The sequence below is a fragment of the Homo sapiens genome, chromosome 3 (genome assembly GCF_000001405.40).
Source record: "Homo sapiens chromosome 3, GRCh38.p14 Primary Assembly".
NCBI classification, from domain to species: domain Eukaryota; kingdom Metazoa; phylum Chordata; class Mammalia; order Primates; family Hominidae; genus Homo; species Homo sapiens.
In genome coordinates this window covers 173,573,522-173,599,854 of record NC_000003.12, presented here as the reverse complement: position 1 = coordinate 173,599,854, position 26,333 = coordinate 173,573,522, and the positions used below count along the sequence as shown (strand labels likewise).

General features: G+C 35.9%; 1 protein-coding gene across 32 annotated transcripts in view; it reads right to left on the bottom strand.

The window, feature by feature from the left end:
* The window catches only part of NLGN1 (neuroligin 1), an 898,421-nt gene that overhangs the window by 694,518 nt on the left and 177,570 nt on the right, over window positions 1-26,333 (bottom strand). For 5 of the 32 annotated variants that reach the window (NM_001365928.2, NM_001365927.2, XM_047447705.1 and 2 more), the window contains exon 1: window positions 14,821-15,421. The exons of the other annotated variants lie outside the window; for them this stretch is intronic. The gene's annotated coding sequence lies outside the window, so the exon portion shown is untranslated. Of the gene's footprint in view, window positions 1-14,820; window positions 15,422-26,333 lie in introns of those variants that run through there. 32 annotated transcript variants of the gene reach the window in all.

Here is a 26,333-nt window from a genome sequence, read left to right as displayed (position 1 = left end):
GCTGCTTTGCTCATGTCTGTGGAATGATGGTAAACGTGCTGTAAGTGTTGATTTTAGGATTACAAATACATTTTAGTGAACAGACAAGTTTGCAAATACAGAAACCAGGAATAATGAAGATCAACTGTACTAACTAGACAAATAATGTTTTGCACTTATAGGTCTGTGGGTTGTTTGAAGTCAGGCCACCCTAGCTTATTAACTATATATGGTAATAATAAGTGGATATAAAAATGGACTTAGTAATACTAATTTAACAAATAAGGTAATTTAATAATATCTGGTTTCAGCAGAGTGTGGTGAAACTTGATGACCAAGGCTAGCCATGTACTTGGAATATATCTATGTGATCAGTTCACTGTAAGAGAACCTGATTACTGACAGATACTGAGTTCCCTGTAGCAAAATGTTTCATATACACTAGTGGTGGTTAAAGACCTAGAGACAAAAGGATATTCTTCATGACCCAGGAGTGGGAGAACAAAGAAGCCAGAGTCTGAGATTTTTAAATTCAGTTTAATGCATATCCTTCTTCTGCTGTTGCCATACTGTATTCTTTGCCTGTAATAAAGCTGTCCAATGTATATAAACTGTTTGACGCCTTTCAGCAAATGAATACTTAAAGTAACTAATGTGTAATTAACTCACATAGTAAGTACTTAAAATGGGATGAATAAACAAATGAACACAATTTTACAAAATGATATTAGGCTTCAAAAGAAGAGACAAGTCTACCTCCAGCTAGTAAATTAGAAACGAGTTCATGAATCCAGGGAAATTTAAGATGGGCTTAAAAGAACTACGATCTGGACAAACACTGTTGGTCACAGAAGGGATCCCACAGCAGAAAGAATGTTCAGTAGATACTGTGCTGCTCACCCTTCCTGAGGGCAGCTCACATTTTAATGACTGGTTCCTGCCAGTATTCAAAGGCCTGGCCTCCTTTTCTCAATACAGAATAATCAGAGGAGCCCCAAAGCTCCCCATGAAAATGGGCAGAGGGAGGAGTTGGTTGAGATTCTCCTACTCCCTTACAGGAATTGTTTCCAATGGCACATCCCAGGAAACTTCTTGTAGACAAACCTTCATCTCAAAGTCTTATTTTTTCCTTTGGAAGCCTGACTTATGACAGAAAGAAAAGTAAAAGGCTTTTTTGAGGAACGCACAGTCTAGTTTGCCCAGAAGACAGAGTAAATGAGGATGAGCATTGGATAAGATTGAAATGGCAGGCTAGAGCCAAATCAAGCAAGCCCTTCATTAAGAGGCTAAAGAGTTCGGATTTTATTCTCTAGATGACGAAAAGCCATTACACGTTCCTAGCAGAAGGAAAGTATTATCAAATTCATTCACAAGAAAATTAAACCGGTGGTATTTTGGGGCAGAGATCTCTAAAGCAGCGTGTTCATACCCCACCACAAGATGATTAGATAAGGGAACTAAATGGTTGAACTTCTATTTGCCATTTTTTATGTAAAACAAAAAGAGAAAGCAATTAAAGTTTGCTAATATGAATATATGATGTAACAGCAGTGTCATCACAAGGCTATTGATGCATATAGCACTTACAGTGTTCCTGGGAAGGTAGATTGGTCTGTAGTGCAGTTGGTTAACCACCAATAGCACTTTGTTTTTATTAATTGTTCATTTTCAATGTGCAGTGATGCATTAGAGTTTACATCATTGGATAAATAAATTTACACATTTGTATCAAGTTGTAATTAAAGTAACCCTTAAAAAACAAACTACTGGATTAACTTTTTATCAAATATCAACGAAAGGGAGTACTAGAAATACAATAATAAATAAAGAACTGTAAAAAGGCAAAATGAAATTTCTACTTTTAGGACAAGCTCTTCTTCAGCTATATCACAAGATTAAAAATAATGGCCATCTAATCAGATATAATAACAAATCAGAAAAAAATGTTTGAAAACCTCAAGAAGATAACTTGAAGTCTGAATTAATGCCCATTTTAGTAGCTGGGAACTGTGCCCTAAAAATCTCTGTGCCTTGAGATATTAGTGAATAATGCAATGAAGTCATCAGTATTTATAAGACATTTTAAAATACTGTTAATTTTATCTTTCTCATTTTCTTAGTGTCTATTTTTGTGTATGTTTTGCAATCTGGTGATAGAAATATTTATTAAATATATATATATGTATATTCCTACATAAATTTTTGATAACCAAACCATATTTTTTACTAAAAAGTAACATATATGTATATATGCATACACTTTTCACCTTTTAGCAAAAATATGGTTTGGTTATCAAACGTACAGACTAGATACAAAGGTGTGGGAATCATTACTTTTGTGAATGAATTGGTGTAAAAGAAACCAGAGAGAATCTTAATTCCACGTTCAGTTTGAAATATCAGCTGGATTCATCCACAATTATGTGAAAATGGCAACAAAAACAGCTACTATTGTAGGTCACCCTCTACTTGCCAATCGCTGTCCAAAACACTTTACATAGTTCATGTCACTTAGTCTTCATAACAGATTTAGAAGACAAGCCCTCTTATTTGAGGTGAGAAAAATGTGGGTGAAAGTGGTCAGATAACTCTCTGAAGGCCACAATGCCAGGAAAAGGCAGATCCAAGAAACAAACCCAAGACTGCCTAACTCCAAAGAACATATCCTGCACCTTTGTGACACAGGAGTTTGTGCTCTGCACCTCAGTGAGACCAATTCAATAAAGTCCTATGCTCAGGTTGAGGAACTGAGGAGAGTGAAACACACAGAATATCAACAGAAGGAAAATAAAAAGGCTGCTCATCTGCTTGCCGGGGTTAGTTAATAGTCATAATTTGCAGCAGCTCCAAAGAGTGTGGTATTGAAACTTTTTTCCAGCAACATTCAATAGCCTGGGGCAGAGAATAAATGATAGAAGTCAGGGTTGGGGATAAGGAAGTAAAGAATGATAGAACAGCAAAGAGCAAAGGTTACAGAAATGGTAATCCTAATGTTGAACAGATCAACTAAATCTAAACATAGACTTAAGCAGTACCAGAAGGACACAAAGGGGAAAAATATAAAACAATTAAAACCAAGGCCAAAAAGGGTTTACTCTGAGATGAGAATATCAAAGTTGAAGGTCTTGATCATGGAGAAGTTCCAAGGGATGCTAGGACCCATGTCATGACCATATTAACATAAGGCTATTGAGAACTAAAGTGGTGACAAGTTTACTCTGCCATGAGCATCATGTAATAATAACTGGATTAACAACAAGCACCAAATGAGTAAGTACTGGGGCTAAACATTGAGCTAACTGCATCATCTCCTTTATTGTCTCTAAGTACCATGAGGTAGAGATCATTATCATCTTCTTGTAACAGATAATTAAACTGAAGTCAGAAACACAAAGCCACAGTAACATCCTTCAATAAAACAAGAGCACATTTTATGGATTCAGTAAGCTTCAAGAAATAGAAAGAGATAAGGCAGAAGAATTAACACTCTCTAAAGACAAACGCTGCCTCCTTCTTAATTTTGCCCAGAACCTCCTCCTGGGAGAAATCGTGGGCAGCCCCCAAAAGTTTTCCAGAGTTGCATGATATTCCCCATTTCTCTGCAGAGTATATAAACGGTTCTATTTGTTCTCTTTCCCCTTGGGCTACTTCCACACTAAATGTACCTCTCCAATAACATTAAAAAAAAGAGAGAGAGAAAATAGAATGTTAATGAGAAAAGGCCAACTAAAACTTAACATTAATTGGAGAAAAAAATTTACCAACAAAATATTTTTTTAAATAACAAGGAGTAACACCTGAGTACATGGTAGACGTTATACCTGGTAGCAAACTAATTTTGTGAATAAACAATACTACTGGAAGGTAACACACATGATATGGTTTGGCTCTGTGTACCCACCCAAATCTCATCTTGAATTGAACTCCCATAATTCCCACGTGTTGTGGGACAGACCCAGTGGGAGATAATTTGAATCATGGGGGTGGTTTCCCACATACTGTTCTCATGGTAGTGAATAAGTCTTATGAGATCTGATTGTCTTATCAGGTGTTTCTGCTTTTGCATCTTCCTCATTTTCTCTTGCCACCACCACATAAGAAGTGCCTTTTGCCTCCTGCAATAATTCTGAGGCCTCCCCAGCAGTGTGGAACTGTAAGTCCAGTTAAATCCCTTTTTCTTCCCAGTCTCAGATATGTCTTTATCAGCAACATGAAAATGAACTAACACAGTAAAATGGTACCAGCAGAGTGGGGCACTGCTGAAAAGATACCCAAAAATGTGGAAGCAACTTTGGAACTGGGTAACAGGCAGAGGTTGAAACAGTTTGGAGGGCTCAGAAGAAGACCGAAAAATGTAGGAAAGTTTGGAACTTCCTAGAGACTTGTTAAATGATTTTGACAAATATACTGATAATGATATGGACAATAAAATCTAGGCTGAGGTGGTCTCAGATGAAGATGAGAAACTTGTTGGGAACTGGAGAAAAGGTGACTCTTGTTATGTTTTAGCAAAGACTCTGGTGGCATTTTGCTTCTGCCCTGGAGATGTGTGGAATTTTGAACTTGAGAGGGATGATTTAGGGTATCTGATGGAAGAAATTTCTAAGCAGCAAAGCATTCAAGAGGTGACTTGGGAGCTGTTAAAGGCATTCCGTTTTTCAAGGGAGGCAGAGCATAAAAGTTCAGAAAATTTGCAGTCTGACAATGCCATAGAAAAGAAAAACCCATTTTCTGAGGAGAAATTCAAGCCAGCTGCAGAAATTTGCATAAGTAACAAGAAGCCAAATGTTAATCCCCAGGACAATGGTTAAAATGCCTCCAGGGCATGTCTAAGGTCTTCACAGCAGCCCCTCCCATCACAGGCTTGGAGGCCTAGGAGGAAAATACGGTTTTGTGGGCCAGGCTCAGGGTCCCTGTGCTGTGTGCAATCTACAGACTTGGTTCTCTGTGTCCCAGCTGCTCCAGCCGTGACTAAAAGGGGCCAAGGTACAGCTCAGCCTATGGCTTCAGAGGGTGCAAGCCCCAAGCCTTGGCAGCTTTCATGTGGTGTTCAGCCTGTGGGTGCACAGAAGTGAAGAACTGAGGTTTGGGAACCTCCACCTAGATTTCAGAAGATGTATGGATATGCCTGGATGCCCAGGCTGAAGTTTGCTGCAGCAGCGGGGCACTCATGGAGAACCTCTGCTAAGGCAGTGTGGAAGCAAAATGTGGGATCAGAGCCCCAACACAGAGTCCCTACTGGGGAAACACCTAGTGGATCTGTGAGAAGAGGGCCACCTTCCTCCAGATCCCAGAATGGTAGATCCACCCACAGCTGGCACCATTCACCTGAAAAAGCCACAGACACTTAATGCCAGTCCATGAAAGCAGCTGGGAGGGAGGTTGGACCCTGCAAAGCCACAGGGGTAGAGCTGCCCAAGACCATGGGAACCCACCCCTTGCATCAGTGTGACCTGGATGTGAGACCTGGAGTCAAAGGACATTATTTTGGAGCTTTAAGATTTGACTGCACTGCTGGATTTTGGACTTGCATGGGGCCTGTAGCCCCTCTGTTTTGGCCAATTTCTCCCATTTGGAATGGCTGTATCTACCCATTACCTGTTCCCTCTTTGAATCTAGGAAGTAACTAGCTTGCTTTTGATTTTACAGACTTAGCTGGAAGGGGCTTGCCTTTCCTCAGATGAGACTTTGGACTATGGACTTTTTGGTTAATTATGGAATGAGTTAAGACTTTTGGGGACTGTTGGGAAGGCATGATTGGTTTTGAAATGCGAGGACATGAGATTTGGAGGGGCCAGGGGCAGAATGACATGGTATGGCTCTATGTCCCCACCCAACTCTCATCCTGAATTGTACTCTCATAATTCCCACGTGTTGTCGGGGGGACCCAGTGGGAGATAATTTGAATCATGGGGGTGGTTTCACCCATACTGTTCTCATGGTAGTGAATAAGTCTCATGAGATCTGATGGTTTTATCAGGAGTTTCTGCTTTTGCATCTTCCTCATTTTCTCTTGCCGCCAACATGTAAGAAGTGCCTTTCATCTCCCGCCATGATTCTGAGGCCTTCCTAGCCATGTGGAACTCTAAGTCCAATTAAACCTCTTTTTCTTCCCAGTCTTGGGTGTGTCTTTATCAGCAGCATGAAAACAGACTAATACAGCACAGCCCTGGAAGCAGCGCTCAGTTAATTGGGCCCAACTTGTTCACCAAGATTGTTCTTCCTGGAGAATGCCTTCCCCATCAGTTTTCTCCTGGAGGGACCACAGCTAGTACCTTTCAAGGCCTGGCTCAAAAGTCAATAAGACTTCCTTCCCTAGTCCTTCAAGTCATAAAAATACTCCCTTCTCTTATCTCTCAAAACACTTATTACATTTTTTGCAACTAAACACACAGTACTTTTTTCCACAGTAATTTGTAATCTCAGTTTCCATCTTCATTCCTATATTTGGCAAAATAGTACTAGGCATTGGAGAGGACGACGTGAACAGGAGAGGAATAGTGCTAATATTCATGAAGACAAAAAAGTAACTATTGGGTAACAGTCTTAGTACCTGGGTGATGATATAACCTGTACAACAAACCCCCATGACACAAGTTGACCTATATAACAAATCTGCACATGTACCCTTGAATCAAAAATAATTGTTTTAAAAAGACTGAAGTTCAATGGGGGAAGATAGACTTTAAGTAAGTCAATTACACAGAGAGCTATCTAGTAATAAATACTGTATGAAGAAGGATAATGCAGGGTATTTTGAGGGGAGATTTAAGAATATGGAGTGGGAATGATGATCTTCCTGAAGAATTAATCTGGAAACCAGGGTCTGAGATTGAGTAGGAGTTGGCAATTGAAAACCAAGGTATAGAATGTGCCAGAAGTAACAGGAAACCCAAATGCTGTGGAGGCTGGGGCTTTCCAAAGAAATCACTGTGAACTGAGAGAAGGGTAGCCCATCAGACAGGAGAGGAGAAAGGATGTGACAACTCAAGAATTTGTTGGCCATTTTAGGGGTGTGAGATCTTATCCAAACTATGATGAGAATCATTATAATCATACAAATGGCATGATCAGATTACCCTTACACTTTGAGAGTACAGGGTGTGTCTTTTGAATTGTTGGTTTTTAACAACCATCCCCAGAACAATGCATTACATTGTAAGTCCTCAGAAAATATTTCTTGAATGAATGACCCATTAATTCATTATACTATTTTTCATCAATTAACACAACCCTCAGATTTTATTTATCCATCTGTGATGCTTGACCTCTGTGAAGGCTTTAGCTTAATTAAACTTGCAGCCAGGGGGGACGAAACATAGAAGAGGTGGAAACAAATGACAATACAATGGAAATTTCTCATCATGTAGGCGTGTGCATAGATATCCATGTAGACTGGCAGCTAATTCCACTATTGTGTGGCAAAAAAGAAAATACAATAAGATTCTAAGATGCCATAATAGCTTTTCTGACAACAAAAAGAGAAAAAGATTAAGGTGACAGCATCGTCTTCTGCATTACAAAACTGAGTATTTCTGCTATAACCATCATTACAACTAATGGCGAAATATTAGACAGCTTCTTCTTTATTTTGTTATTCTGAAGAGGAGGGCTGAAAAAAAATTTAACATTAACTATATAAGTTTTACTTTCTATTTATTCTGAAACTATTTTCAGGTGTAATCTCCAAATATTAATTGTTAAATCTAGAATCTACTTAGGAAGCCTGACTTCCAAATGAACAGGGAGGTGAAGGGGGCAAGAGGGGCAAAAATCAATGAGGCAGAATGTTATTCAAAAGTCATGGGCAACAGTTTTAATGTATATGTAAAATACCACAGGATACATTTTTAAAACCAATTGATGACCCTGTGATCCCACAGAAGAAAATGAATAATCACTCAAGAGCTCAGAAGAGACAGCCTGGTAGAGCTGATTACTTCCCTTGATATTAAGTTGATGATTTTGTCTGGAAGGGGCCACCTTTGGGTCACAAGTCATTGCTTCCAGAAGCAACTTAATTATGCCTGCTAGTATCTTTATAGAGAAGCTAGCACAACCTAAGAAGAGTGCTACAGTCTCAACTCATTCTTTAAGCTTATTTTTGTGTGTAGTGAGTTGCTCATGCCTGGGAAGAGTGGAAAATTGCCATTCCTGGTTCCCTGCTTAATTAAAGTCCAGTTAAAAAAAATCCCTTGTTGCCAGAGAATAGCTGCAACTTTGGCAGAGGCAGTGCTAAGTTTGAGTATGGCCCTGTGCCAGGGTGTGTCAATCTTGACCCCTTGGAGGATGATCAGCAGAGAGTGGGTAGTTAAACCTTTGTGTCCATTCAGTCCCAGGCTTTTGCTGGAATTGGCAAATACTGTGGTGACTATTGTTTAAGGAGTAGCTGTCTACTAGGAACTGGACTAAGACCACCAACGCCTTTCACATAAGGCACCGAACAGCAATAATGGTTTCCTGTCACTCCTGACCTGGCTTAGAGCTCAACCAGTGATCCAAAGGAGAAAGAATATCACACTAGCAATCTCCTTTATATATCTACATCATTTTCTTCCTTCATATAAAAGTTGCATTAGTACTAATAACAATAACAAAATTCAAAATAATGCCCTGTTCATGGGCCATTTGTGTAACACAAATAGTATATCAATATATTAATGAATAGAATAGAATATTAACAAGAATTTAATATACACATGGAATATAGGTTGCCAAATAAAGTCACCATTTAAATTCAAATTTTATAATAGGGAGAATGGGATTATAAAGTTTTACAAAATGGAAAAAGATCTTAAGTAATGACGAAAATCCCAAACCGTTATATTTTAAATCTTATTGTCTTATTGTTCACGTTCTACCTGTTTGAAATAACTTTTAGTAATTCCAACGTTCCCTGAGATATCACATTTTCTTCATGGAAGAAAATAGCTCTAATGTACCTTCAGTAAATTATAACAATATAAATAATCCTACTACACTTGTAAGTCTTGATCAAATAATTTATCAAAGTGAAGTATATAAACTCTATATGAAATCACTAAAAAGCCTCAGTTACTATTTGTCTCTAATTAATATTCAATTTTTGAATAGAATCCTTCCTCCCTTTGGAATTTTGTACATTATTTAAAATTATTTGTCAATTCAAATAACTACTGATTATACATTTTTTAAAAAGCAAAAATGAAGATCCCAGGTATTCATTACATAAAGAGGTTACATGTTTAGTTACTAACATCCAAGGCTAGAACACAAGTCGATTTTCATTCATTCATTCAATAAACGTTTATTGATTTCCAGTTATGTACCAGGTACTGTTCTCTAGGCGATGAAGAGAAATACACTCAGCTCCGAACAAACCAGACAAAAATCCCCTACTATGGTGGAGGTTATACAGACTACTAGTACAGTATTCCTTCAAAACAAAAAACGCTTTCCTTCTTAGATGTTGTTATTAAAGACCGTGGCGTGAAATAACAGGGACTTTTGGCATCAATCTTGTAGTAACATATGTATTAGAACACTTGGCACAGTTAAACAGGTAATGAAACTGGTGACTTTTTCTACCCATAAGAAAAAGAATAGATAACACTGTCACTTATGTGTAAAGTGTTGGACAGTAAGTAATACAGATTTAAATTAGAAATGACAGATGCACTGACTTGTAACATAATGGTTGCTGAAGTGAACTTTTATTCCTTTTAGCTCTATAGTTAACTATTAAATTGCTCAAGTTTTATTTTCAAGGTGTGAATATTGTGACAACCATTCACAATATTCACAACGTTCTATGCTGTAATCACTTTTTCTGGTCAGTTCTGTCATAGAAGTGGTGGTTGTCACATGGAAAAAAACTTTTACTAATGATAATCTCAACCTGGATTTTATCAACTCAATATTACTTGATTACATGTTTGAACTTGTTGATCTTCCAAGCATAGAAAGTATTCCATATGACAATATGAGAGTACTCATTGTGACTGTTTTTTAAAAAGCAATGACAATTTTCAATTCATTTTCAAACATTACAAGTAACCTCTTTTCTTCTCCTGTAGATCTACCATTCATTGGGTGTGTCAGGGAAGAAAAAAGAATCATTATGGTTACAAAAAACTGATGACAAACATTGGTATAAAAAACAGTATATCAATTGGATGTTTCCCAATAGGCATTTGTTGAGAACCATATGTATACAATAAGACCTTCATATCATTGCCTGATTATTTACTCTTTATAGAAAGTGTCTGTGCTATTTCAATACAAGCAAAATATAAGAAAATCACATTCTAAGAAAATAGTTGCCCAATATTCAATCTCTTCCCCAACTTCTGCTTTTCCTCCACATGCACTGCCACCATCAAATAAATAAATAAAAGTAAGCAAGCAAACACATTAGTCTATTTATTTTCTAAATTATGCAAAACATAAACAGAATTATAGGTAGAGGAAAGTTGACTATGCAGTTCTATTAATGAAGCACCACCTACAGCACCTCCAAAGAGACAGCATGGGCCTCAGCAGGTAGCTCTAATTGTAGGCATATGTAGCATTAGAAAAGTAGGCTACAGAAAAAGAAAAAGCTACTGTGTGGCCTGTCACAAGTGAACTAATATTATGTACATAAAGCGTAGCTGGATATGCAGTGAAAATACTAAACTAAAATTTCTATACAAACCAGGAGAAAGTGAAAAAAGTACATATTCTTCTGTTTCATAAGTCAAATCAAAGTTTGTCCACTTAAAGCTAAGTCCTAAGATGTCAACTGCATTAGTTAGGTCTAGTCTCAGGCTGGAACTTAATTTCCTGTGATATATCACTGTGGTTTTTGAATTTACATCAGTAGTAGTAACTTAACTTGCATTTGTTCCAAAATGAATTTCATGCTCAACTTGTTTTTCTTAATTAAACTTCCTTTAGCGGTCCCTAATATGTGTATTATTAAAACTCATTAGTCCCATCCACAATTGCCTGTCATTTTTTTGACTACACATTCATATATTGAAGTGCTGTGTTGCTATATATAGGAAGAAAATTAAATAATAAATATGGGGACTTGAACGTTTTATGAGTGTCAGGATGACAGACTGCCTGCAAGGCCCATAAGGTTTCACACAAAAGAGGCATTACTGCTAAAGCTAACATGCTGACACATCTCTGATCTATAAAGTCTGCAGTAATGGCAGCAGTGAAGCGCTTTGCCATTGACTAGAATTTCTCTCACATGCAACGGAAATAGGCACAGAAGAGATTATACTGACTGTTATAAAAAGAATTCATATAAAAATCCCCCAAAAGTTTAATGTCTAATAATTTCAAACTCCTGGAATGATTCACTAGTTTTCCCTGACTTCACTTAAGCTTCGAGTTGACAGTCATTCTCTATCACACAGGTTAGCTACCAAATGGCTGTGGGGATTTTTGTTTGTTTGATTTTACTTTGTTTGGGGGATGACTCTTGAAGGCAGAGATTATTCAGATCATTTTATACCAACATAGTAATATTTGACATTATCAACATTATTTCATTAATAACAGAACAAAAGTGACCAGCAAATGGGTTACTATTAAGGAATCATTTTTCTTAGAAATCATTTTCTTAGAAACAGAATGTTGCTATCCCACAGGATTATATGGTTAGCTACCTCATGATGTTTTAAATTATCTCTTAAAAAGCAATAAAAACATTAGACTCATCATGAGTGTTCACAAATTTGATATTTTTCAATGCTTGGCAAATTCAATATGTCAAAAACTTGAATTTTAAATTAATTGAAAGTTGGTTTTTGTTCTTTTTTATTTCTCAATAAAGCAAAAGAGATGGAAGATTTGCACTTGGAAGTGTCATGTGTTAAATTTCAACAAGTCATTTAAAAATAATTGCCCTTATCACTTTGCTTCTAATTAAGAGTGTGTTGCTAACTTCTTTTTAATGTAAAATAACATTTAATGTAGTTAATCATCTCAAAATCATAGAAAGAATCTATAGCAAATGTGTTAGCTTTTCCTGAATGTTAGGCCAGTTGCAACACATAAAAGGTTTTTGAGGGACAGGTGCAGCTGTCAAGCAAAACTCCAGTGAATGCAACATCAGTTTTTACATAGTGATAAGCTTAGAGGAATCCAATGTTATTTCTTGTCACTTATATCAGAAACTGTGCTTGCAGATTTCCAGGGCTAATTGACAGCTTCCATCTCTTTACCCCAAACTACCACATTTTGTGTTACTCTGATAGAAAATTCACAACTCATCAAGGCTACCATGTTCTTTTTAATAATTAGGACCAAAAACATGTATTGGGTAAGATGGAGCTAAATGGAATTAATTTTCTAAGTGAATTCCTCAGGTTTTTCAATAATTCCTAGAACAATCCACTCTATTAGGGAGAGCATTTATCTAACTGGGTACCTTGCTCTTCGTTTACTGGCCGCAACTTTTTAAAAAATTTTGGTGTGTAGTTTTGTATATACTTATTTCCATTGTTATTGGCTTTCCAAAGTGGATTTACTACCTACAAAGTTTACTGAAAGTTTTGTGTATGTACTGCTTGTAGAAACAAAGGATACAGCCCCTCCAAGTAGATTATAACAAAGAGAAGGTCACTTTCTCCCTTTTCATTTTAACTGACAAAAGAGAATATAATAGGGGAGTAGAAAGTATTGTTTATTCTGACAGAAATGTATTTTCCAGGCACTACAAAGGCACATTCAGTTAAGTCTTCCATTTTAACACTATGGCACATGCAATGACTACTGATTTAATGGTTTTGGAATATGCAAATCAATTTTAAAAGGACCTTCTTTTTCATGTTTCAAATTATCTATCTATTTTTATATCAACAGCCATATTCTCTATTAGCTTAAAAAGAGAAATTCCAACCCACCTACCACTCACCTTCATTACTTATTTGCTATTACCACTTAATGATATTTGCTAGCTGTCTTTTTAAAATCCGTTTAAACTTTGAAAATATTTTAAATACTATTAGACAGTGTGGCTAGGATCAGTGGCTAGACTGTGCCAATACACAGAACATCCATTCTTCTACTCTCAGTCTGCACGTGAACCACGTGACTTATAGCAGAGTAAAAAGAGACTAACCTAGCTTCTCAGATATCGCCTTAAAACTAACAATTGGGTTATAGCAGAGTAAAAAGAGACTAACCTAGCTTCTCAGATATCGCCTTAAAACTAACAATTGGGTTTGTAGAAACTATTTATTGTTATTTCTATAATCTCTAAATAAGCCTACACAACGTCTACTGAAATAAGAAATATCTACCTTTTCCACTTTAGAATTCCTGGGAGACAAAAGTTTTATATTTTGCTATTTCATCTTTAGAAAACAAATCTCACATGCATGCTTCAAAATTAGATTTCAGAAACACACATACACACACAAATCCAGGAAGAAAGTTTGGTTAGACTAATCTTTTAATAGTCAGAACGTCGCATGTATCTGGAATTCCTGAAAAAAAGTACTAGAGAATGAGTGTGCTTCAGATGACATTGAAGAGTTGCCTTTTGATGAGTTCACACACACAGACTTCAGTGGTAAAACCACAAAGGTATCTGCATACAGTCATAATCTGTAAACCAGAAATCCCTGAAAAAAGGTAACACTTTTATTCTAAAGATTAGAACATACAAAATGTATGTTTTATCTTTTATCTATCTCCATTTTATTCCAAAGCATTTGAATGTCTACAAGTTTAAAATTTAACGAATTGGCTTTAAAAAAAAAAGCCAACTAAAATTGTGATGTTGAAGTCTCAGATTCGTTAACCTACTGAACACATTTATATACATCCCTCAAATAAATCAGTTCTTTGTATGCAATTGTTCTGAAGCTACGTGGACTCCAAAATTACTTCAGAATAATATGCTTTTCTGGGTTCCAAAGCAACTTTTAGTTGCCTGAGTCAATTCATATTCACTGATTTGAGTGATTAATTATAGCTGCTGAAATTGATTTCCTTCTGCAAATAAAGATGAGTTTTTCTTGGGAGCTACAAAATTCTTAAAAAAAGAAAAAAATTCCTGAATTCAGCTGCAAGAAAATGTCTGGGAACGCGCGCGCACCGCTCAGTTGGAAAGAAAAGCCAGTAAGTGGCGAGGCAGGCAGGGCAGGGATGCATCAGAAATGCAGCCGTCTGCCTGGCGCACTCGCTAGCCTGGGCCCTCGGCAAAAAGCCTGCAACGTCTTCCTGGGCTGCTCCAACTCGAAGAAAGTTACCTCGGACTTGTATTATGGAAAGTCGTGCAAGTGAATTACAAGACAACATGTGTGGCCAGCCACCCACTTCTACTGTCTCTATCCGGTGCAGTGACCCTGTAACCCTTTAGTGTCCGGTTGAGAGAAGCGGGAAGCGGGAAGGGGTAGGAAGAGAGGGGTGGGGGAGGAGACAACATGAAAACAGCCAATTCCCCCTGCAAAATATCCCCCTAGAAGCCACGACAGCCGCAGAAACGGCGGCCGAAGCACCAGCGATTTCTACTTGGGCTTTTCCGCTCTACATGCAGGTTTTCCAAGGCACCGCTGCCTCCTCTCCTTAAAGTATTGCTAGGAGAAAGCACTGGATCTGGGAAGCGTCTCCCAACTGAGAGATTTTCAATGCAAAGTTGAGAGCTTGGAGAGCTGCTTGGCTCCCCCACCGACGCCACAAAAACAAGGTTTTTTAGCTCGATCTAGGTAGCTCCCTAGCGATCCCCCCGGGGATGCGCGAGGTGGTTTTATATTCCCCTTTCTCTCTCCATTTCACAGGCACCGCGTCCGCATCACCTTCCGCGCAGTGGCACAAAACCCTGGCAGCCCCCTCCCAATAAAAGAGCCACAAACTTACCCTCAGCAAGATAAATCCACAGAGGGAGCCCCCTCATCTTTCCCCGGTCCCTTTGCAATGATTCAAGGAGACGGTCTCTACAACACTTCGCCGTCAAATTCAAGCTGAAATGGTCCAAGTATTTACCAGTTTCTAGACGCTTTTTTGAAATCTCGAGCACCCGGTAATTCTTGTTCCAGGATTCAAGACGCTTCCTTTTCTCTTTTTTTGCTTTAAGCATCCGCAACCCCAGTTTTGCACCCCCCCCTCCTTTTTTATTCACCCACGGACACTTCTAAAACGTGTCGATTGATCCTTTTTTCTCTCCAGATGCAACCACGATCCAGAATCCTGGGGACCCAAAGCCACCTCCATGTAAATCCGACCATCAGGCAAGAAATACAAATGATCAAACAACGTTACTTCTTTCGGCTGCAATCAGATAATCCTACTAATCCAATAGATTTATCTCGATTGGAAATTGACCTCAAAAATGAATTCCCGGTGCTGATGTCCAGAAGAACAATTTCATAACCCTGTTCGGGTGACTGAAAAAAAACTCTGGTTTCTTTCTTTCTTTCTTTTTTAAAAAATCTTTTTTGGATTCTGGGTGCACTCCTCGCAAAAAAAAAAAAAAAAAAAAAAAAAAAAAAAAATGCCGAGGACCCTGGTTTTACCCTAATATAGGTTTCTACTCCAAATCGGTGCAGGATGAAAAATGGTACAAAGATACCCCTAGTGGCTCCAGGCGATATTGCAGGGATCTCACTTTTTTTTCCCATCCCCTCTCCTCACCTTTTTTTTTTTTTTTCTTTCTGCCCCTTTAGATAACTGGCTACTGCAGTAGTTAAAGAAGGCTGAACTGCAATTAACATGAATAGTATATGACTACTTGAATACAGCATCTGATGTTTCTTTGTTTTACGTTTAAAGACTGAATCTTCTGTGTTTCTGTCTCCTCTGGATTCTATTTTTTTTTTTTTGTCTACAAAAATTTCCCCAATGGCAGTTAGTAGCTAAAATGCCAATTTGAGGCAATTCGGTGATTTCAAAGCAATTGTATTTGTTTCTTTAATAACTATCGACCTAAAAGAAGCCTCACTCTTCCTGAGATATGCTGCTTTTAGAAAAACATTTAAAATTTTATTTCCTTTAAAGGAATATGATTGTGTGTGTGTGTATTCTTAGATAATCTCTTACTCATTTGGGACTTTTAGTGTTCATTCAGCAAAGCAAGTGATAGCTCCTGTAAGCCTGTGGTCACAGAACAAGACCTAAGAGTCATTACATAGGCCTCAATGTTGCTTACCTGAATGCTTTTAAATTCAATGACCTCAAGATTACCCCTAGCATTTCCGACAGGCTCCAGAGAAAGAGTCAATGCAAGGAATTTCAGGACTTTGTTTTCCCAAGCGCTCTAATCACACTTTGAGGGCTTGAAACACAAATTGGGCCTAGTAAACTAGAGAAGTTGAATTCTCTTTCATTGTGAGGGGTTCTGTAGCTGCAAGCAGTCCAAGACACTCTTTTTTAACTGACTAAATAATTAAGCCTTTTTAGTGTACAAGGTGTTAAGGAGTCAAAAGACCTTTCTTCTACCACTGGTGTTGCTATTAATTGGCTATGTGACTTTGGGCCATCACTTTTTGGCCCACGGCTAATTTATCTATTAACACTAAGGGGTAAACCCATATAAATCAATAAATATACATGTTCCTGGATGGGAGAATCAATATGGTAAATTAATCTATAGAAGTAATGTAATTATTAATAAAATCTACTACAATTTTTTTGTGGAAGCCTAAAAGTTAATTCTAAAATGTGTTTGCAAGGGCAAAGGGTAAGAAATTATCAATATAATCTGAATAATCTGAAGAAAAAGGTTCAGGAAGTTCCAATATGAACTATTAAGGCTTAACATAAAATAACAGTAACTGAGGCAATGCAGATGTGGTTCAGGGCTAGAAACTAGTCCAATGGAACAGAATAGAAAGTCCAGAAAAATATTCATGGATTTGTGGAAACCTGATAAATAACTGGTGACATCAGAAAGCACTGAGGGAAGATGACATATTCAGACACTGAATTAGCCATATGAAATAATGATAATACAAGATTGCAACTTCACATGTATGTATGTTAAGGTGGGTTAAAGACCTAAAGATGCTGAGCAAAATTTTACAACATTTAGAGGGAAATAGCTTTATGATTTTGGGTAGATGAGAACAGAAAGGTTTACTAAACAACATAAAAAAGCCAAAGTCCATAAAGAAATAATATTAAATTTGATATATTAAAATAAAGCAATTATATAAATCAAAATGTACACTCATAAAAGATATTTGCAATGCATATAATCAAAGAAGGATTACTATCCAAAGTACATAAAGGGGCTTATAAAAGATAAAAAATATAATAGGAAAGAATGGGTTAAGGAAATGAATAGTTGATTGACAGAAAAAGATTCTCAATGTCCAATAAGCATCTGAAAAAGGTCCTCAATCCCCCTAGTTATTAGAGAAATGCAATTCAAAATAATGAGATTTTTGTTTCCCAGTCATGAAATTGGCAGAAATTTACAAGTCCAGCAAAACTTAATATTGATGAAAATGTGAAGAAATTACAGAGAGTATATGATAGTACAAGTTCAGAGAGCAGTTTAGCAATAGTTGAACATTTTTATGTCCTATAATCCAGTTTTTCCACTCCTAGAACTATTCATTCCACAACTATTTGAAAGAGAAAAAAACAGTAGGAGAGAGAAATAATCTAAACACCTTCAGATAAATAGCTGGACAAAATATTTATAGAATATTCATATACTGCAATAGTAGAAACGGTAACAAGAAAAATGAATGTTACCTCAGCTCCTTGAGTTGATATAAATGAATCTCAAAAAATATAATATGCAGCAACAACAACAAAGGATGTTGCGGAAAGATGCTTATAGGATGATGATATTTGTATATAAAATTCAAAAACAGGTAAAATAATTACATCTATTATATTTGATCACATACCTATATACAGCAAAATATATCAACATGTATGATAATGACAAACATGATATTCAGGGTAGAGGTTACTGTGGGGAGGGTGCCAAGTAAATGAAATTGGAAAGGCATCACCAGAAGCTTCAACTGTATCTACTGTGCTCTATTTCTCAGCCTGAATCTTGAGTACATGGGTGTTTACAATATTACTATATAAATTGTTTATATGCTTTAAATATTTTATTAAAATTAAAGATTTAGACTACATTATTCCTGTGAATCTTTACCATATTATAAAATTTTCTAATTAAGTCTGAAAAAATGAAATATCAATATTTCATAATGTGCTTTTTATATGGAGATTTTTTTAAAAAACTGTACTACTAAATATTTCTAAGAAGTGTAAATGGAATGGTGCTTATTTACTTCTATAATTGATATTAGAAATTCTAGCTAGGAAGCAAAAATTACCACCTAAATGGGAAAATATGGTTGAAATTGAAAAAAATATATATGTAATCCTCAACTAGCTCTTTCTTGTATTTTCCTTTGATCTCACAAATAGTAACAGGGCCTCTGAAATTGTGAAACAGTCAATCAACTGATTGATCATGTTCAGTCTGACCAGTTAACTAAAAACTACCAAAGCCAGAGTAGCCATAAGCTGAAATTACAACATGAAAGAAAACTCACCCAGAGTATTTAAAATATGTATGTGAATTCAAATAAGAAGACTTTGTTGATATGAAATATGGGGACTGGAAATCTCATTTCACAATCACTAGGCATTATATTTCATAATCCATGCAAAAGAGATACCAAATATTAGAAAAGGCATTTTTTATAACTCAATTGAGCAGTTAATACTATTCAATGCACCCTGGACTCAGGAAAAATGCTTGAGTTAATTGTCAAACAATCAATTTTCAACTATTCTGAATAGATTTCCTGGAAATAACCAAAACAGATTTGTGATAAGGAAATAGTGATATGCCAATTTAATTTCCTTTGATAATAGAAAGATAAGGGAGAAGAAGCAGATGTACCATTATATTTCTGAAATTTGGAGAGGCTGACATTCTTTCAGCAAACACTTATTGAATACCTCCTGTATACTGGGCATAATCCAAAGTATATCATAGGAGAGTTGACTTTAAAACAGCCAACTACCACAAATCCTTAGTTTCCTATTGATGATTTATTTGTTGAGTGCAAATGGCTATTACTATTATCAATTAATATTTCAGCATCCATACTGAACAAGTATTAGATATTAATATAGAACTGAAGGTTCATTTTTCAGTATGTTTAAGTGTAAAATGAGTTCACAGAGTAAGGTAGTCAATGAAGAAAGAGGAGTAAAAGGAGAAGTGAAAGGAGAAGGAGGGATAGAGGAAAGGTGTTTGAGAATAAAAATGTGAATCAAATTCATTTATCTCCCTGGTGATTTACTGACAGAGAGGATAGAAACATACTTAATATTTGTATCCTTCATGATACAAATTATTAGTAAATGACTGACTTAATAGATCAAACAATAAAACTAGTTGCTATATGAAGAGAATAAATTCTCTAATGAAGAGAATCTCTTCATTAGATGGGCTTGCTAATTTCTTCAGAAAATGAAATCAATACAGGAGGAAAGTAAAAATTAGTATGAATAATAATAATGGAAATAAAAGACCAAGATTGGTAAACCTGAGCACTATAGGGCATTCCAATTTAACCGTGTTATTAAAATTTCAGCTCTGATAAAAAACATCTTAGAATTACATATCTTATTTTGGTTTCTATACCAAATAGAAAATGATGGATTGATTAATACCAAATGGATCATGTGAGGAAGCAGCATAGTTTTCATAACAAATAGAGGAGTAAGTATTTCATTGTTGCTTTTAATACAAAAGAGTTATTTTGAGAAAAGGTGGGGTTTTTTTTGAAAAATCATATAAATGCACATCTTTTATGACCAGGTCAAATCAATTCAGCTCTGGCTTGTGATAAACGTTTTAGGATGTTGTGAAAGATAGCAGCTCAGTGTCTGAAAAAGAAGAAATAACCGAAATATTTCATGTACCCCATAAACATATATACCTACTATATACCCACAACAATTTTTTAAAAATAATTTTAAAAATTCTGAAGCTAGAAATAAAATAAAACAGAATTGTAAAGCAAGTCTGGAGAAAAAAAAATCCTCTACCATCTTCAGAACTCCCCTGATGTAACCTCATATTAAGTGCTCAAGACTTGAATCTAAATGAATGGCAATTGGGAATTATGAAAGAAACAAAAATAAAAAGTGGTGCAACATTGTAAGTTCTAACTACTGCAAAGGTGACTGTTTACAAAGAGGTTCTTTCTACGGGGAAGAATCTACTCCCACAATCCTGCTTAATTAGAAAAGACTACTTAAAATGCTTGACTGGTACTGACTATATTTCAGATACGTATTGGGAGAACACACCTGCCTGGATGCTAAATATACCAGATGTATCTTTATATTTCATGGAATAGAGATTGGTAATGGAAACTAAGGAAGTGATGATCAAGACTAGACATTTTGTTTGTTTGTTTATTTATCTTGAGACCTGGTCTCACTGTCTTGCCCAGGCTGGAGTGCAGAGGCACGATCATGGCTCACTGCGGCCTCAAACTCCCCGGGCTCAGGTGATCCTCCCATGTCAGCCTCCTGAGTAGCTGAGAATACCGGCGCCATGCCATCACATCAGGCTAATTTTTGTATTTTTTTCTAGAGACAAGGATTCACTATGTTGCCCAGGCTAGCCTTGAACTTCCGAGCCCAAGCAATCTGCCCACCTTGGCTGTGCTGGGATTACAGGCATAGCCACTGCGACTACCCAAGACTAGATATTTTAGCATGAGACTGCCACTTTTGAAATGGGGCTTTTTCATCAATGTTGGTTAGAGATGCTAAAAGATATTTACAGAGGGACTCTTAAAAGGGTTTAAATCAGAAATAAATCCAGATTTTCAAAACAGACTTGAATAATTCTGACTTGTTAAAAACTTTCAAATAATGGTGCCATTAGGCTAATAATTAAGATTCTGTTTTCTTTTAGAAAAAGGTCTTTTTTACATCTATAATTTATACATTTATTTAATTGGTAAAATTGAAAAATATAGAAATTTCCAATTTCAAATGTTTTAGCTAATAATAGCATGATGCATTATTTTGCAGAATATTTTCTTCATTTTTGAATGTAAGTACATTTGTGAGGCAGTATTTACGCTGACCCTCTAATAACCTCAGAGCAGGTTCTCTTGATATTTTGGTGGCTTTTAATTCCATAGTACCATGATTGATTTTGACATTGCAATGTAGTATAGAATGAGTTAAATTGTATAAAATTATCTTAGATGTTTCTTAAGTACTGAAAAAACACAATCAGGAAACCATCTTATTAAATATCATCTATTAATGCTTATTGTAAAATATTAGTTTATTTGAGTCTATGTTTCCAGTATTAGCAGAATATACTATAAAGTTTGACCTAATAGGATGGGAAACCACATGAAAATTAATGTTCTATAGTTCGAGATGGAAAGAGAAATTTTTAGTTATATCCCAGTGGTATTGACATCTCATTGACTTCACAGACAAGAGTTGGGTACTCTTTTTTTGGATAGGATTTTATGCTAATTACATAATTAAAAGTAAACACTAGCCTGAATTTTCATTATTGTTCAATTAGCAACTTAATGAGCATCTTCTACCTGTCCCAAAATATTTAGTTCCATGATTTCCAAAATATTAAATAAAGGAACCCTTAAAATTACATCTTCTTCTTCTTTTTTTTTTTTTTGAGACGGAGTCTGGCCCTGTCGCCCAGGCTGGAGTGCAGTGGTGCGATCTCAGCTCACTGCAAACTCCGCCTCCCGGGTTCATGCCATTCTCCTGCCTCAGCCTCCCGAGTAGCTGGGACTACAGGTGCCTGCCACCACGCCCAGCTAATTTTTTGTATTTTTAGCAGAGGCAGGGTTTCACAATGTTAGCCAGGATGGTATTGATCTCCTGACCTCGTGATCCACCTGCCTCAGCCTCCCAAAGTGCTGGGATTACAGGCGTGAGCGACCGCATCCGGCCTAAAATGACATCTTCTAAAGGAATGGTTATTTCTCTGTCTTCTTGTCTCTCTGTCTCTATCTATCTGTCTATATATCTGTCTATCTATCCATCTATCACCTATCTATCTACACATTAATCTGTCCCTTTAAGCTTTGATTACTTACAAGAAACTGAGAAAATATGTCACAAGTTTTTCAAAGATGATATATTTTTCTAAGATCATGTGTGTTTGGTTTTAGAGTTTGTTTTTGCTTGTATGTGAATAAAATTATTTCTGATGACCTAGAAACAAGCAGAATGATTTAGTTAAACAGAATGACAAAACTATGTTACATTCAATGCATAAGAAATTGTTCAACCTTCCAACCATCATAAAATTCATGACTCTCAGCCTTTTCTTGTGTCCTCTTCTATAAAAGTTTCCCAAACCTTCCCTAGTGATAAACAAGCTAACAAATGGTGGATTTGTTACAAAAGAAAACAATTAAATTTTGACCCTTTATTTATAAATTGTACTAGGAGGAAGGGAGAGAAGGAAAGCAGGACATGGTAATATTTCAGACATAGTTGTTTACATAGATGAAGCAGAAAAGGCAATGTGAAGAAAGTTCAAAGCATGATTTGTTACATCACAAAATAGACTATGAGGATAGATGGTTTATGTGATAACAGAAAGTATACTCATTATTTGATAGAATGAGAATATAATTCTTGGCTTATGTGTAATACATTAAACCAACTCACAATTCACATCCTCATCATTCATAAGTCTGGTGAAGCTAGAAGATATATCTTATAGCTGAAATTCATCATACAAGGACTCAAACTAATCATTAAAACAACTACAGTATATTTGAACAGTGGCCCAAAGAACTGCAGTTTTAAAGTTCCTTCATAGACTCACAGACTCCTTTTGCTAAACAGAAAAAAGCACAAGAAGATAAATGACTTAACTAAGATCACGTTGAGGTCAGCAGCATCGCCCAGATGAGAAGCTGTTGTGCCATGCCACACCTGACTCGATGTTTCTTATGATTGTTTTTTGGTATTACCGTTTCGTTGATCTTAAAATATTGGACCACAAGCAAAATTTAAAAATTGAAATTAACAAATCAAGAAAGAATAGCATTAAATATACTTAATACGGTAATTGGAATAATACCCTCCACCACCCTCCCCCGCCACAGATGTCTTAATTCCTGGAATCTGTGCATATGCCACTTTATATGGCAAAAGAGACTTTGCAAATGTGATTAAATTGAGGATCTTGAGATGGAGAGATTACTCTGGGTTATCTAGATGGGTACCAAGTAATCACAAGGGTTTTTATTAGAGGAAGGCAGAGGGTTCAGGGGTCAGAATAAGAGTAAGAGATGTGATAACAGAAACAGAGATGAGGGAGAAAGAGAGAGTCAGGTAGATTTGAAGATGCTACACTCTTAGCTTAGAAGACGAAAGAAGGAGCTACAAGCCAGGGAAAACAGGTGGTCTCTAGGCAAGAAAACGGAATTTTTTCTAGAACTTCCAAAAAGAACACAGGCTTTGCCAATCATTTTAGGTTTCTGACATCCTAAACTGTAAGATAATAAATTTGTGTTGTTTTTAGCCATTAAATTTGTGGGAATTTGTTATAGCTACAATAGAAAACTAATACACTTATTTAAAAATATTAAAGATATTAAAAATATTATGGAAATAATCAGTGCTGCCCATAGAAACATAATGTGAACCACACAGGAAATTTTAAATTTCCTAGCATCCACATTAAAAAATGAAGAATCAAGTTAAATTAAATTTAATACTGTATTATATGTAGCCCAATATGTCAAAATATTATCACTTCAACATATAATCAATATGAAAGACTATTATTGAGAAATTTAATTGCTTCCATATAAATATATTCAAAATCCAATGTGTATATTATATTTAGAGTACATCTCAACTTGGAATAATTCCTTTTCAATAGCTCAATGGCCACATAAGGCTAGTGACTACCATAAAGGATAGTGCAGCTTTAGATTATAAGAAACAAGTTAAAAAGAAAATTTTATATATTATTCCATATCATTCTAAAGCTCTGTCACAATCTAGATAAAGGATCACAAAGGCTTCTACAAATTATCAGGATGGTTTTACAGGCAAGTTTCTGAAAACTTTGTATTTGAGAATTATATTTAAAAAGAAAGATCTGAAAAGAAACGAAACTTAAAAACAACATGAAAGAAGAGTATGATTACCTAATGATACTGATACTGAGTTGACTGACGTTTGTAAAAATGCCAGCAATAATAGAAAGAAATTTATGTGGTATTTTTAGAAGAAAATGACAGCCAAGGATGGGATCAGAATAAGATTGCTTGGAGCCAACTATATAATATGAACAAATGACCAAGAGAAAAGCAAAACTATTAAATCTCAGCTCCAATTGCTTCATAGGGAAGAATGGTGTTTGAACTGGAAAAGAATATGATGGTGAAGAAATAAGAATGCCTGAAGGTAACTTAAATTTGTTTTAAGATTTCAGGTCCAAATTTGTTACCTAATTTAGAATACCAAAAGTACGTGAAGAAGTGTTCTTGGAACTAATATCTATTATTTTTAAGTCACCATGAAAAAGTGCCATGAAAATTAACTGTCCTGGTTTTCAAACAAGATTCCATAAACTGAAGTTTACCAATCTTGACATTAACTGAAATTCTAAAACTGATGCTCATATGTGTTTGCTAAGTGTAAAGTCACCATAATTTTTTTTTATTTTTTTATTTTTTATTTTTTATTTTTAGAATTACTGGAGCTGGGTGCAGTGGCTCACACCTGCAATCCTAGGGCTTTGGGAGGCCAAGGCCTTTGAAGCCAGGAATTTGAGACCAGCTTTGGCAACACAGTGAGACTCTGTCTCTATGCAAATTTTTTAAAAAATAGCCCGGCATGGTGGCATGAGACTGTGGTTCTAGCAACTTGAGAGACTGAGGCGGGAGGATCACTCAAGCCCAGGAGTTGGAGGCTGTAGTGAGCCATGATTGTGCCACTGCACTCTAGCCTAGGTGACAGAGTGAGATCCTGTCTGTGTTTTTTAAATAATTATTGGAGTGGCAGATCAAATGTGTCATTTGCATAGTTTATCTTAACTGCATCCAAGGGCTTTTACAAAAGTCACCCCTAGTTTTCTTGTGAACAAAACTGTGACATATGGGCTAAATGATGGTGTAGTTGAATAAATCCCTTAAAAGTTGAACAATCATTCTACTGTAGTATTCAATATATGTTCTCTCATGTTATCTTCTCTATTCCTTTTTTGAGTCATAAAATTCCTAAAGGAATTTGTTTTGTAATTGGGCTTGTCCATTAAGTATGTTAGTTTCATGGGAAATAGGAATGAGACTTTAGTAAGGTGCCTGCCTTAGATTACAGACTTTAAATAAATTATTTAAAACCATCAACTGTTTTGGAATTAGTATTTTCAATGATGCTTTAAAAATTACTTACTAATAAAGAGTTTAATTTAAATTATTTAAATATAAAATTTTAAATTGAATTTTAATTCAATTTAGTCAAAGTTTAACATCTATTTTCTCTCTGTGTCCTCAATTGAAAGACAGAAGTCAAGATCTTATATTTGGGTTACTCCCTGCTACACAAATATTTCTATTTAATTAATCAACTATACTTTAGTTATCAAAAGGTATTTCTATTGACAGCATTCAATTGACTTAAAAAGAACTTTACCTTATAAAAAGAGCACATTTAATAAAAACTTCAAAATTAATCTAAATTTAAAACAAATCGGTAATTAAACTGCAATTTAGCATCAAAACTAATTATGACTGCATATATTTTAAATGAACTTTCATGATATAATGGCAATGTTTTTTCTTTTTTCTTTTTCTTTTTTTTTTTTTTTTTTTTTGAGGTGGAGTCTCGCTCTATTGCTCAGGCTGGAGTGCAGTGATGCCATCTCGGCTCACTGCAAGCTCCGCCTCCTGGGTTCACGCCATTCTCCTGCCTCAGCTTCCTGAGTAGCTGGGACTACAGGCGCCCGCTACCACGCCCGGCTAATTTTTTGTATTTTTAGTAGAGACGGGGTTTCAGCGTGTTAGCCAGGATGGTCTTGATCTCCTGACCTTGTGATCCGACCACCTCAGTCTCCTTAAGTGCTGGGATTACAGGCGTGAGCCACCGCGCCCGGCCTTTTCATCTTTTTTTGACTCTTAATCCTGACACAATCAAAATTTTTTTCTCTATCCTTCCTCTTCCCATATTCACTAAGAACTAGACCAGGAAACAAATATAACAGAAAAAATAATAATAATAATAGCATAAAAATAATAAGATCTCAGGAAAGCCTGTCTTCTTCCTATACTCATTATCCATTTTCCTCTCCCCTACTCTATTTCCCTTGTTTCAACATACATACAATATACATAATTATATTATAAATGATTATATAT